Below are 15,912 nucleotides of genomic sequence, written 5' to 3'. Positions count from 1 at the left end.
GAGAGGAGAGATATCAGAAAAAAAATAAGAACACAGAGAAGGACCAATAATAGTAAATGTTATGTAAACTTTAAGGACAGCAAAACCATTCCTGTTCTCCACAGGAGCACTGACACTTCCTTGTCAATAGTATCACTGAAACACCTGCTTCCATTTCCAACATCCTGTCTTTGTGAAGCATGGTTTTTTGCAGTGACAGCAACCAAGATTATGGAGTAGACTGGACATAAGCACCACATTTCAGGTGTCACTGTCTCCCATCACCCTCTGGTGGGACTGTCTAGTTGCAGGAAAACAAGCTCAGGGCTCCCACTGATTCTACATTATGGTGAGTTTTATATTTCATTATATATTACAGTGCAATAATAACAAAGTATGCAGTAAATGTAATGTACTTGAATCATCCTGAAGCCGTCCCCCTGCCCAGTCCATGGAAAAGTTGTCTTCCACGAAACCAGTACCTGGTGCCAAAAAGACTGGGGACTGCTGCAATATAGGAACAATATAAAGAGAGGAAAACACGAAATCTATCACATCTTTAATAATATATGCACTGATGGTGTACAGAATACACTAATTACATTCATTCATTTAAGTATCAACCAATACCTACAAACCACATACAAATGCCTGCAATTGTTTTAGAACAGTGAACAAAAAAGCAAGAGAGACAGATAGTAAATTAAAAATATACATGTATGATTATCAAAGCAAGACCTCATCTCTATAAAAAAAATCTACACACACATGTCAAATAGTAATGAGTATAAGAAAAAAATAAGACTGAGAGGAGAAATCAACAGATAATTCATGTAGAACAAAGAAGTTTTTCTGCAATGACAGTAGTTAGCATCACAGGTTTTAGAATCAGATGCCAGTTTTAATCCTGGCTCTGCGTCTTACAGCTCGGTGTCCCATGGACAATTTAGTCCACTTTTAAATCTCAGTTTTCTAATTTTAAATGTTTATTACATTATTAGAAATAAAAGCACATGAACAAACATAAACATACATTAAAAATCAAGAACAGAAAAAATGACTGTATAATGTATCAAGAATAATGGTTATAAAAATAAAGACAATAAAACTGCCAAACTTTTTAGACAATTCTAAAGATTAGAAGATAAATATACATAAAGAATTTAGCATGTCGTGCAGCATATAGTTAGCCCATGGTAACTACAATTATTATCCTCATATTACTAAGGGAAAATATGTATCATAGTTGGGCATTTAAAAAGCTGCGAGACATAATTTTTCAAATTATGCAAACACTTAAAAATTCAATTTTATGTTAAATAGTTCTACCTTTAACATTTTTTAAAGAGATTCCTTGAAAGCATCTGTCAAGAATCTCATGTAATGCTTTCTGCTTCTTAAACAAAGTTGAGAAGAACTTAACATTAAATCAAACTCTTAAAATGTAGTTATATTAAATAAACTATTTAAAGAATAAGCACAACAGCTTTAACTTCTTAAAAACTGCTTAAGCATTTCAATTAAAAAATCATTTGTCTTTCAAATGCACAGGAATCTGTTTAGAAGAATTTTAACTAGAAAAAGTTGGAATTCTAAAGTAAAAAGTGCATAAGGCCATACAAATGTTTTACAGTTTTTAATTTAGATGTCAACTGGGGAAAAAACATTCTCTGGGGTTTGCTTTTATACCATTAAAAACTTATTTTTTATTACCAGCAATACAGAGTGACTCATTCAGGTTGAATCTTGAAGGTAAACTTTAACTTAATTTTAAGTTTTGGCTAATTTTGAAGCATTTCTCAGTCACCTACCAGCTACTTGGGAGGCTGAGACTGGGGAATCACTTGAACTCGAAAGGCAAAGGTTGCATGAGCCGAGATCGCGCCATTGCACTCCAGCCTGGGCAACAAGAGTGGAACTCCGTGTGAAAAAATAATAATAGTAATACATAGAACAAAAGCGAAACTACAAACAAAATTCCTCACTGATATAGATTTGAAATCCTGTCATTTGCGGCAACACAGATAAAATCAGAGGGCATTAAGTGAAATACGTCGGGCACAGAAAGGTAAACACCGTATGTTCTCACTGGGTGGGACGGAAGAAACAGTGCTTTGATTGTTAGTGTAATTATATCTACAATGACAAAAGTAAAAGAGTGGATCAGCTCAGTCAAATAACCTGGGTAATAAAAATAAAGTCAATTTAAACTGGACCATTTACTGACTTAATTCACCAGCTGTTGGACTTTTAAGGAATTATATGGTTTGATCCATTATAGATGTACTGCTCAGAGACAGAATTAAGTCAGGCAGATCAGGAAAGACCCAACGGATCAAACTATCTCTGCCTTTGCCCAGGGCAATGAGATTCCAGACACATTGACTTGTTAGACACATCCCTGACTGGGGTTGTCATCATCCACCCAGGCCTCAGAGCTCATTCCATTAGGGACGACAGAGACAATCCCCAAGAAACCTTCACCTCAGAGGCCCAACACAGACATAAGAACAGCACAGTTTTTAATGGCTCAGTTCCAGAGCTTGGAGTGTGTTAGCAAAAGCTTAATACGTCCTTCTGTGCCAGGATGGCTCAGAGGACATGATGAATCTGTGATCATTATTTTCACAGGATTTGGTCCCTTAGTCTTAAAATACTGATTCTTGAGATGCTTCCTTCTAATTTGGGAGAAAACTGTGTTAATTATCAACTCATGTGAAATTAAAGTCTGCAGCCACCCCCCAACCTGCTCTTTCTACATCCAGAAAAGCTAATCACATACCAGAGATTAAGTCGTGTTTATTCTCTCTTACTCATTTCTCACTTCCAGTCAAATCCTAAATCCTGAAAATTCTATTCCCTAACATCTCCAAAATCCAATTCCTATTCTTCACTCACACTCTAGTTTTCTTAATTAAATTGTTACAACTTCTCTCTTGAGTTAATTAAAATGCTTTTCTTCTTCCCTTTCTTGAGATATATTTTACATTGCAGCAAATGATCTCCCTAAAATACACCCTACTTATGCCACTCTCTTTCCTAAATGCATTCATTTTCTCTCCATGTTAGGAAAAATGAAATCCAAGTTCCTCAACTTGGTATTTTGTTAGAAGAGTGTGCCCAACAACCTTGTTCTTGCCTATGCCTCCATTATTTAACCATGGCAATTCCCCATAAGAACCCTACAAACAAACATGTCAAACTACCAAACTCAAAATACCTTTCGTCTTCTCTTTGACCAGCACAGTCTTTTTATTTTTTACGTATAGCATTTCCTTCCCATTCTTTTCCTTTCTAACTTATTCACTCTTTAAGACTCAAAACAGACTTCATCTCCTATAGAAACACCCAAACTTCAATGATCAAGTACCACCTCATTCATTCCACGGCACATTTTCAGCATCAGGTTGCATTTTTTCTTTAAGTCTTTCATATATGTATCTCCATTGTCCTAGCATAGTATACTTGCTGACAGAAGAAGAAAAAAAGGAAGGAAGGAAAGGAAGGAAGGAAGGAATCCACCCTTTGCCTACCCAGTTCAGGGGATTCTCCCTGCCTCAGCCTCCCAAGTAGCTGGGATTACAGGTGCCCACCACCATGACCGGCTGATTTTTGTATTTTTAATAGAAATGGGGTTTCACCATGTTGGTCAGCCTGGTCTCAAACTTCTGACCTCAAGTGATCAGCCTCCCAAAGTGCTGGGATTACAGGCATGAGCCACCGCACCCAGCCAGATTTAACATCATTTACAATCAATCTTACTCTACCTGCCTTCCATACACAAACTTTTTTTCAGACAGAAATTCTTTTTTTCAGGTACCATTATTGTCTTTCTGTACTTCCCAAATACTTTTTAAAGAGCATCAGAATTTCACAATTTTATGTTCTAGTTCAATTCTCTGGTCAAATATTTTCTTACTATTCCATCTCTACCTTACTGTTTGTTATATCATTACTTTGTCCAATTTTATTATAGTAGTATTTTATTCTATTTTCTTTCCAATTGATGAGAATTTGGGGGGAGGACCTTTGAGTCAGTTTCTTAAGTCCCTACAGAGAAATCAGATTAACCAAGTTTATCAAACTGTGAAATAAGTAATTCAAATTTCAGCTGTTGGAAATTTAAATTATTTTGAGCCTTAAGAGGAGTGTGACTATGTGGCCTGAGTCATGTAGCATACAGCTGCAACTTCTGCTTTTTCCTGTAAATGATTAGGAAAGACTAAATCGTACCAGAGATAAGATTCCTTGAGACCATTACCCCTTCTTGTGGAGTGTTCATGTTAAACAATTTTCCTTGGCACGTAGCCAGCTGTACCTAATCAAATCACTATAATGTATTTACTGACCTTATATGAGAACTACTGTAACTCTGCTAAATTTCTCTGCTTCTGCCTAAATCAGTAAACTTTAACTTTTCCACTTTGGAGTACTGACTCCATTTCTTGGGAGTCTGTGTTATTCAGGTGGCTAATTCTCAAGCTTTGCCCTCAAATAAACTCCACATTTAATCATATTTTCTGAATCTTATTATTTTAAAGTTGACAAAACTAAAGCACACAAGTCAATGGTCAATTTGTAGATGGGTTGATTGATTCCTCTCCCCATACCCTGAAACTCCAACTCATCACTAACTGTATCCAAGATAAAGGTGTTATTGGATGAAAACGTCCACTGTTGCAGTGTCAGTGCTAGGACAAATGACAGGGGTCCGAGTGGTAGTGTACCCTAGGAACTGTGAGTGGACAGGCCCCTATAGCCATGTCAATTTCTTTGATTTCCTTACAATTTCCAGGGTATTATATGCATTTAATGAATACTCCTTAACTTGATCCGTTGAAAAATTTATCACAGAAATAGCATTAATATAAAGAAAAAAACACGTGGGAAATGATGTTCACAGCTGTGGCCAGTACCCTCCTGCACATCAGCTGAAAATATACTCATTAGATGTATGGGGGTGCTTTCCTGGCAGTTTTTATGCCACAAAAACTCAACCAGGAGAATTGGAGTAAAGAAAAGGACTGGTATTTGGATTAACAGACAAATTTTTTTAATCTTTTATCTCTAGGATAATGCCCTTGGATGATTTTAAAAGAAAAACTTTAAAAGAAAAGATTTTAAAAGAAAAACTTAAATTTTTTATCAATAAAAAATAGCATTTGGATACTAAACAGTCCTAAAGTCCAAATTTAACCACATAGGACCTAAATGTGTAAGCAGTTAATGGAATGAAAAACTCCCTGGGAAATGTTTGACAAATAATGAATGCCATCTTAGGTATTCACTTGCCTTGTAATTTAAGCAACTCCCTTAGCCTCCCTGTGTTTTAGTCACATTATTTGCAAATAGGGTAAAGAATATCTATTTTTCACATGTCCTATGATCATCTTTATTATACAGGAAGACGACTGGAGCAATGGGTTTTGAAATATTTTATGCAATAGTTCCAAAACACCTGGTTAAACAACTTTGAAATTTTTTTCCATTTCTGTCTGGGTATTTTTGTTATCTCATAGATTTAGCCTCTGTGATAGTCTATGGACACGCTCTGCCCCATAATTCAAAAAGCCTGAACTGGTATTATCTACAAATAATGTGAAATCCGCACACTTACCCTGAATCACCACCTCACCCCCCAACCCACATTTCTATTAGGGTGCAAAAGTAGGCAGCAAAGTTCTCTGAGAGTTTGTGAGGGATCCTATCTACCTAATCTGAAAGAAGCAAGGAAAGGGTGTTTTCTACACCTGGAAGAGAACATTTTGCATCTTGCAGATAATAAATGGAAAAATACTGAAGCAGAATTTTACTAAAAACAAGATCTAAATAACAATTGCATAAGACCTACAAAAGAATAGATTGCCCAATGCCTGTGGTACATGAAAAAAAAAGTATTACTGAGAGACCACCCACCTCATATTTAACATACTTTGTCTTGCTTAATCTCTACTACAACCCTCTAAGGTGAAGAGTATGACCTCCATAATACAGATGAAAAAGGCTAGGCTTCGAAAGCTAACTGGTGAGAAGATAAATCAGTTCCAAGTCCAGATATGGATGATACTGTCTTCCCCATGCCTGGTGCACAGGATCATTCATACCCAGTGAAGGCAGCCAGGGATTCAGAATGCTACAGGAAGAGTCCTGGGTAATGTGAGGAGCTGGATTTTTATTATCTCTAAAACAATGATTTCAAAATCTATCATCAGTAACACCTAGGGAGCTTTTTAAAGACAGAGATGCCTAGACCCACACCTGGCATTGTAGATTCAGGAAATTTGGAGAGTTCTTGGAAATTTGTGCCTTAAGCGTTCTGATGCACGATCAAGTTTTGGAAACACTGCTTTTAGTAATGTCCAATTCCAATATGCACTGATTTTATAAGATTGGTCATCAGAGTTATTTGTGGAGGTTGGGGGTGGTAATTAATTTGAGTATAGGACAGCTCTCTTTGAAGTAGAATATTTACAGCTGTTTAATCTGCTAAGGAGAACAAATTCATTCTATCTGGATGTGTATCATTTGCTCTGTTCTTCCCAAAGGCTTGCATTCCTGACTAGAGTCAGCTCTTTTGTAGGTACTTTGGCTATGCGAAAAGGTCAAGGAGAAGATGCAAATAACTCTGAGCAAATTCTGCTTTTTCAAAAAGCAACTCAAAGGACATTCCCCACTCATACAGAACCAACCTGTATCCAGGACAGGGCACTATAACTTTACTGATGTTGACCCCTCTCTCTTTGAAAAACTGCCACAGAAGCAAATAAAAGGGCTTGAAGAAAAGGCCACTCATGTTGTCTCAATTTTTATTTGACATCCATGACATAATCTGCAGACTGCCCAGTGCCTTTGGGTGATTGAATTAGTTTTGTAAGTCCCCAGCAGTTGTGGATAAATCAAAAAGACAAGGAAAGTGCAAGATACAGCAGAGATATCCTGAAGCAGGCAACTTCAAACAGAAGGAAACCACTTCACATCCAGAGGGCAGAGGACGGGGTCAAACTCGAAAGCATTTTCCCACCCGCGTTCACTCTACTCCTTGAATATTAGTTCTCCACATGGCCACAGACACATCTAAGAGAGTAACTCCAGCAAACTGTCTACATTACTAGAGTGTTCCCCTCGTTGAGGCTCCCCAGCCCCTTTCTCCCACCCCAGAAGTTTCTTCATGGTCCCCTTCACATCCTTGTTCCTCAAAGTGTAGATGAGGGGGTTGATGCTGGGAATGACGATGGTGTAGAAGAGAGTCAGGAACTTCCCCTGATCTTGGGAGTAGCTGTTGGCCGGCTTCAGGTACACGTAGATGATGGTTCCGTAGAAGAGAGAGACCACTGTGAGGTGAGAAGAGCAGGTGTGGAAGGCTTTCTTTCGCCCTGCTGCTGACTTCATCCTCAGCACCGCGGCTGCAATCACGCCATAGGAGATGAGGATGAGGGAGAGCGGCACCAGGAGGAGAGCCACCCCCAGGGCAAAGGTGAATCGCTTCTACCAGCATGGTTTCCTCACAAGACATGGCAATAAGAGCAGGCATCTCACACAGGAAGTGGTCCACCCTGCGACGTCCACACCGGGAGAGCTGCATCGTCTGAGGACACATGATGAAGGAGTTTAGGAAGCCACAGCACCAGGCCACAGTCACCAGCTGCAGGCAGAGATGTGGGCGCATGACTGCCATGTAGTGCAGGGACCGGCAGACGGCCACATAGCGGTCATGGGACATGACAACCAGGAGGACGCACTCGGTGGAGCCCAGCATCATGTAGATGTAGAGTTGGGCCACACAGCCGTGGTAGGTGATGGTCTTCTCTGGACCCCCCAGGTTCCACAGCAGCTGAGGGGCAATGCTTGCTGTAAAGCAGAGATCTAAGAAAGACAGATTCCCAAGAAAGAAGTACATGGGTGTGTGGAGCCTGACATCCATGACCAGCAAGAGGATGATGGCAGTGTTGCCCACCAGGGTCAGGATGCAGAAGATCAAGATAACAGCAAAGAGAATTTTCTCCAGTCCAGGCCGATCAGAAGAGCCCACCAGGATGAATGCCTGTAGGTAACTGGCATTGTCCTTTCCCATAATCCACCAGCTATTACAGAGAAACAACCAAAGAATTAGATAAGGGGGCACATGCAGATGATCTGGCACTCTCCAATTTCCATTTACAGGTCTGTGAAGTTAAGAGAGCCATTTGCCCTTTCTTTGCTTTTTTAGAATAGACTTATTGAAACCTGTTACATGCAAAGTCGTGTGCCTGATGCCCCAGGAAGACGGGATGAATTGACTCTGGAGCTTCCCTCCTTGGTGAATAATGTGTATGAATAATGACAAAGAAGGGAGAAAGAGAAAGTTCTCTAAAAGAAGATGCGTTAAAAGGCTGAGTATTATGCAGATCACTCCCAAGTGATCAGGAGGGCCTGTGTAGAACAGTTTGTATTAAGGGAGACTGCTGAGTCTGAGAGTTGTTTTTGGTTGTTGCAAATAATAAGTAAGAATTTGACATGTGGCAGATTGAGCTAAATATGTTTCACAAAGAGGAGGTAGTATATACAAAGTCATGAAGGACCACATTTATGGGTGATGCTTAAGGAAGCCATGAATGTACGTACCAGGCAACTCCTTAATGGCATGTAATTTTATTAAGATGAAACACAGTGATTTTTGACCCTACAAGAAAGGACTGTGATGATAGGTTTAATTCTGCCTCTGTAAAACACAGGTCTGCAAATGTATGGCCTGCTATTCAGTTCATCTCTCTCTAACTTGGCTTTTCCTTGTGCAACATGGGAAAGAGGCTAGATCTTCTCTAAGTCCCCACTCAGACCTCACATGTCTATGTAACTGGTGACACTGAGTATATACCCTGAGCACTTTCAGCTATTGAGGATTTCCACAGTCTAAGCCAAGGGCTTTGATGGGGACTCTGCCTTATACAGCCAATATCCACCCAGGCTTGTATCTGCTATGATAATAGCAAACGGCATCTGGGCAACACACAAGAAGGAAGCTGTGGGAATGAGGGCACAGAAACACATTGAAGGACATGTGTCTATGCAGCCGCTGTCACCACCTGTCCATCCTGACAACTGACATGCTATGAGCTGTATCCTGTTGGAGCTGCAATTGGGAATTCTGTAGTTCCCATCCATTGGTCCAGGCACCGGACCCTCTGCAAAGCCCTATGAAAGGGTAAAAGAGGCAGGGTCTATCAGAAGTAGCCAGCCAAGTGTCAAAGAATGGAAGACTTTCAGAGGCTTCCTGAGTACTCACAAAGGAGACTTTCACAGACACACATTTTACAGGTGTTGGTTATTATGAACAACTTGTACTTCTGTATCCTCAGACCTATCATAAGTTTTCTCCCAGGTTCAGGAGACCTCAAGAGTGGCAATGACAAGCTACACAAATTGCTCAGCAACTTTATCACTTTGGGTGATAAAGTTGTGATCACTTTGGGTGATCTCAGCAAAGTTTATCACTTAGGGTCTGACTCCTTAACCAAAACTGCAAATTTACCTTGTAGTCATCTGTTCAAAACTACTTTTTTTCACAATGCTTTATTCTTTCAATCCAAAATGTCCCACTGCTCACCCTTATGACAAATATGCAGAGGCTCTTCTCTGTTTCACCTAACAGGTATTCAACTATAAATTAATGCATCCTGTCTTCTCACATTTCTTAGCTCTTTAGTTCAGAACCATGAAATTGCAAGGAATACAGCTCTTAGAAATGCCCAAATACCTTTAATAGTTTAGTTGACACATAATACTATAAATGCTTACTAATTTTGAAAACTTAGACGCCAAGGTCTGAATTGGGTTGATTCTCTGGCTGAAGGTTATGCCCAAAACTGTACCAACCCATATAGAGGAGAATCCACCAAATGGTTCTCTGTGCTTACTGAAAAGGATTTAACAATGCCAAGCAATAGAGCTATTTTTGCCTGGCTTAGGTATAGAGCACAACATAAACAATCACAACCCTTTCACATTAGCGTACATTAGACTTTTACAGAGCTTTCACACTCTAGTTTCAGACCATCATCACAGCAGCCCTGCAAAGTGGACAGGCCAGGCATTAGAATCTCCATGTTAGAGATGATCAACCTCAATAATAGAGAAGAAGAAAGAATAGCCAATGCTTGCACTACAGCTTCATATCAGAGCAAGGTTTATAGTGCCAGCCCTATGCATTAACCCAAGTTTCCATTCATTCTGCCTTCCTCCCTGTTCCTATTTCTCACCCACTTAAAGCTGTAGTTGTTTAAAGTTGATCACTCATTACAGCACTCCCATTAACCTACACATTACAATCCTAACAATAAAATCCATCATCATGAGCAGTTTCCAGAGAGAAGCTTGTGATCACTCTCAAAATCGCCAGAGATTTGCAATGCTTGATTTGTGCGAAAACAGAATTACACGGTTCTCTGTTCAAATCAGCTATCATTTTATCAAGAGACTAAAAAGATTGGTTTATTGTGTGTGCATGTAGGCTCAGAAGAGGCCCTAGGATTGGCTCAGCTAGCAATGGACAAATGGATAATGGATAATCACATAATCACTCCTAATCTACTTTAGATACACTTTGCTAGAATTTGGTGCATTTGATTGTTTCCGAGTTGGATACAATGTCTCTTTTCCAAAATGGAGTTCCAAATTGCGAGTTGGCATTGAGAAACCCGTTACTCTGGTGTTCTAACAGATATAAACTCTAATCAAAACTATTACAAGATAACTCTATATCTGCATACAGACGACTGAAGATACAGATATAAATCTCATTGCCACGACAAAGCTTGTATTAAAATCTCACCCTTGTTCTTCCCAGAAAGTAGAAGACCTATGATTCTGTCAACCCTCCTTACTTCAATTCCGGAGACCAACCAGGAGTTTTCTCATGGATAAGGCAGCTAATTCTTGTCCCTTTTAGTTTCTGGATCTTCCAGAGGAAATTACACTGAAAACCCTGAAAGGAGATTGAGCACAAAAATAATGTCTGTCCCATTTAAGTGTTAATAAGCCTTTAAGTAGCAGAGCTTGGAAGAGAAATGATGAACTGTGGGCAGGAATGACAAGCTAAGTGAGTGGTGTGGCATAGTGCCACATTTCAAGTCAACATGTTTTATCTCACGTCCATATATACAGGTAGTCTAGGGTCAAGGAGATGGCAGACCAGCCCCAGGGATAAAGGAAAGCACACTTAGTTCTAAGAGCTTTGAGAATATAGACAATGTCATTTGATTGGTTCATACTAAGTGGATAGGAGGACAACTTCAATGCCATCTCACCTTGGGGATTTGGAGTCATCTAGGGGCATGAGGAAAAGTGACATCAGCTTGTTCACAGAGCTAAGACCTCAGGGACTCGTGTCATCTAGAGATTGGCCCGGCCACCGCCCCCCCCCCGCCCCCCGCCCCCCACAACACACACAAACACAAAACTCACCGGGGAGGCAACACAGAAAGTTCCCAAATGTGGGGCTCAGGTATTCTTGAAAAGAGAATTAATTTCTGGGTTCTATGTCAAAACAGAAGTAGATCAATTTCTTCATTTGGTCCTGGACTCACAAAATTAAAATCATTAAAATGTGGGGAGGCAAGCATCCCCAAAGAATGTACATCCTCCAATATAAGAAATAATGAGGTAAGGGGGACACTGATATAGGAAACTCTTGGGTCTGTTATTGCCACATTAAGAGGCCACAGGAAACTTCAGTTCTTCCCTCCATTCCACTCAATATTTTTACCTCCTGCAGGGATGGGGCTACATCAGGAGGCTGGTGTTCATCCAGGAGAGTCCTGTGTGGGTTACTCTGCCCTACCTCTCCCCACATTCACTGTGCATGTGTCTTCCCAGTAGCCAAGGCTCTCCCATCTCACCTCCTACAGGAGACCTCTCAAACAGAAACACTAGATGGCAACATCAGCCTTCCATACAGCTGCCAAAAATCATGTGTGTGGAAGATTTTATTTAGCATTTTTAAACTGGCATTGGTGTATTAAGTCAAAATAGGAATTTCTTAAGAAGTAGCAGAAAATAGAATATCTCCAATTTTCTTGAATATCAGCTGTTAACATTTATTGATTAAAAAAACTTGCATACAGTTTGAAAAAAACACCTTATTTTCTAATTTTACATAAGGAAAAATTAATTTCCAACTACACTGTGGTGACTGACTTACTCAAGGTCAAATAACTAGTAGCCACTGGCTGCCCAAACTGGAACCACCTCTCACCAATCATCTTATCTCTTACCCTTCCCATTACATTAAATAAAATGGAACTGATACTATTGAGGTGGAGGATAATTAGTAAAGAGATTCAAACTATGGTTTTTCAGGCTCCAAGTTAACATTTTAAGTTTTTTTTTTTTTTAAATAATAAAATTGTCTTTTTACTGCATGGGATTCTGTCATTTCTAGAACTTTGAAAATAGATATTTCTAGCTAAAATGAAAGAGAATTTTTGCATTTGGAGTTTAACACAACACCTTCTATAGTATTGATGTTTACAATTTGTTTCTTGATTCAGTATTTCCCTTTCCTGGAGGAGTGAATGAAGTCCATTAGGTTCACAGTGCAATCTATGGCAGAAAAGGGATATGAATTATCTTTTCTTCAAGACTTATGTGAAGCTTTTTAATACACAATTTAGCACCCTAAAAGTGGTGGTGTTTATATTCCCTCTTATTTTTATGATTTTTTTAAAAATACATGTGAAATTTATTCCCAAGTAAAGAAACTACTATTCACAGTAGGATTTTTTTGTAATACATGCTTGTTTTCAATTATAATAAGCTATGAATTTATTATCATTTGAACTTGTAGATACATACCTAAAGTATAGTTAGTGTTCGGACAAGATTAATGAGAATATATTTTCTTTTAAAATTTCCTTTAACAGTGTTTCATTAATGAATACAAATTAAAAATAAATGGAAAAGGAAATAATTGGAGGTCTCTTATTAATGAACCGTGACCAGTTGGCTTAATTTACTAAAGCATGAAGATAATGAAGCCGTATTTTTACTCAGATAACAAATATTGCTAAACTTCTTCATCTCTCTAGCTTTTGTGTTTTAACCGTGAATTTTTGTGGATGTGTTTGCATAGCTTTTTTTCTGGAAGTATCTACAACTCTTTGTATGTGTGTTTCTTTGTGTCTGCTTATAAACAGGTTGAGATTCACAGAAAATAACTCAAATTTGGTATCAACAATTTTAATATAAAGTCAGCCCTCCTATCCATGGGTTCCACATCTGTGGATTCAATCAACCTTGAATGGAAAATATTCAGGAAAAAAATTCCACCAAGTTCCAAAAGCAAAACTTGAATTTGCTATGCACCGAGTGCTACATTGAATCCACACAAATGAAGTGGTGGAGAGGCATTATATCAAGTATTATAAGTAATGTAGAGATAATTTAAATTTTGTGTGAGTATGTGCATAGTTTATATACAAGATGACACCATTTTATACAAGGGACTTGAGCATTCGCGGACTTTGGTATCTCAGGGAGTCCTGGGACCAATCCCCCGTAGATACTAAGGGATGAGTGCAGTATTGTAATCGTTAGTGACTTTTCCTAATTCGTGTGAGGTCTGCAGCTCGGTATTTGAATACATGCATTTGCATCTGTGCCCGTTTTCTTGAGTTTGGGTATCTGTGGGAGAGCTTGAAAATGAAATATTTAAAATTCCCATTATGTAACACAAAATCCTTAGGATCAAAATCCCATATACATGTTTAGAACTTATGGGAAGTCCTAGAAATAGTTTGGTCCTTGAACAGTAATTAACAGCAATAATGAGGCAGATGAAAAGGCAGTCAGAGAGCTAGCTGACACCTGGCCCTGAGGTTGGGCCCTAACTCTCTCAGCAGCCACAAAACATGGGCAAGTTACCTATAATCTCCAGGCCAGCAAGTCTCAAAGTGTGGTCCGAGGACCAGCCCCATGAGCATTGCCTGAAAATTTCTTAGAGTTTCACGTTCTGGGACCCTACTCGAAAGCAGCTGAATCAGACACTCTGGGATGGGGTCCAGCAATTTGTGTTTTCATGGACCCTCTACGTGGCGCCGAGGCACAGCAAGTTTGAGAACCACTGGCATAGGCCCACATCTCTTCACACTCAAAAGTTCTCTTTAGGTAGACTGTAATGTTTCAGTAATATTCTTGTGGTACTATGACATGAAGAAATGTTTAAGATGGATCCATTAGACAGGTTGTGTTGCACAATTTTATTCTCCATGTGGGATTTCTGTGCGGTTTTGTATGAGGAATTAGGTGTATTTTTTTGCCAACTGTAAAATCAAAAATCCCTGTAGAAGTCTCAATGGGCATGTTAATGATATCATTTAATAGACTGAGGTATGAATTCTTCTACCTATATTCTTATCTTGAGATGTTCCTGAAGAAAGGAAGGTTTTGAAGCAACTCACCTGCATCACCTCATACCTGTTCCTGGAGAACCTGCTTAGTTGGGAAGGAGGGTGATTGTAAGCTAACAGGAACCACAGGACACCACATCACCAGAGACCGATGGAGATGCTGAAGCACTTTAGCTAAATTGTCCAATAATTTGTGTTTGTTTTGGTGTAAAGGCTTTGGAAACAAACAAACTTGGGCTTCAACCCACATTTTGCATCTTAATAACTTTATAATTTTGACAAACTAACCTCCATAAGCTTCCATTTTTTTCATCCATAAAGTGGAAGCACAATATAACTTAATTTAAAGGATTGTTGTAATGATGAAGTGACAAACAACTGTATATAAAATATTTGACAGTGTTCACACATAGTGAGAATTCCATAGGTAATAGTTATAAATTACAGCTAAATTCTTGTGTGGTGAAGTCTGAGAAAATCTTGAGGATGTGAAAGGGGACAGATACGGACTAAGCTGAGGATTCTTCTGTACAGTGGTCAGTGGAAAGAACCTGGTCTTAAAGCCAGTTTGAAGAGGTCATCAGCCATGGTACCTGGGAACGAGACTGGAACATCATTTTCTTTTGTGACTCTTTTTTTTTTAAGAGACAGAGTCTCGCCATGTTGCCCAGGTTGGTCTCGGACTCTTGGGCTCAAGCAATCCTCCTGCCTCGGCCTCCCAAAGTGCTGGGATTACAGGCATGAGCCACCATGCCCAACCCTTTTGTGACTTTTTTTTTTTTTTTTGAGACGAAGTCTTGCTCTGTTGCCCAGGCTGGAGTGCAGTGGCGCAGTCTCAGCTCACTGCAACCTCCACCTCCCAAGTTCAAGCAATTCTCCTGCCTCAGTCTCCTGAGTTAGCTGTGATTGCAGGCATGTGCCACCACCACGCCCAGCTAACTTTGTATTTTTAGTAGAGATGGGTTTTCGCTATGTTGGCCAGGCTGGTCTGGAACTCCTGACCTCAGGTGATCCACCCACCTCAGCCTCCCGAAGTGCTGTTCTTACAGGTGTGCACCACCATGCTTGGCCTCCCTTTGTGACTCTTAAGAAGATCATTAACACTGATTTTGTGGAGTGACTGATTATCATATTATACTTTGTATGTTCTTACCTTTGTAATATCACTCCTCCTCTGTTCTCCTAAGCCTATCTGCCAACTGCTCCTCCATTCTTTTTTCATTCACTATTTTAGGTATTCCAGAAGAAAATGGGTAAAGAAATAGAGCTAGTAAGTGTTTGAAGGCATTTATTTTTTAACATTTTCATTACAGTGTATCATGCATAGAGAAATGTGCTTAGATCAAAAAGTGAGCACAACCATCTAACCACCATTCAGGTTAAAAAAAAAAGAAAACAACACCCAAAGTCCCCTCATAACCTTTCTCCGTCATCCTACTCAAACCCTATCTGCTCAATAACACTATAGATTAGTTTTCCTTTCTGTTGAAATTTACATAAGTGAAAGCAAATGGCAGGTTTATTTTTATTTCTGGATTATTCTGTTCAATGC

The 15,912-nt window shown here is 39.3% G+C and overlaps 1 pseudogene across 1 annotated transcript; it reads right to left on the bottom strand.

The window, feature by feature from the left end:
• Positions 1–6,768: 6,768 nt before the first annotated feature.
• OR2W5P (olfactory receptor family 2 subfamily W member 5 pseudogene) lies at positions 6,769–11,085 on the bottom strand (annotated as a pseudogene). Its single transcript, NR_169841.1, has 2 exons — positions 10,787–11,085; positions 6,769–8,060 (listed from the first exon to the last, which is right to left on the bottom strand). The product of NR_169841.1 is annotated as an olfactory receptor family 2 subfamily W member 5 pseudogene (transcript).
• Between the last annotated feature and the right edge of the window lie 4,827 nt (positions 11,086–15,912).

The sequence above is a fragment of the Homo sapiens genome, chromosome 1, assembly GCF_000001405.40.
Source record: "Homo sapiens chromosome 1, GRCh38.p14 Primary Assembly".
NCBI classification, from domain to species: domain Eukaryota; kingdom Metazoa; phylum Chordata; class Mammalia; order Primates; family Hominidae; genus Homo; species Homo sapiens.
Note: the sequence above shows the minus strand (reverse complement) of the source record. Positions and strands in the feature narration are given on the sequence as shown.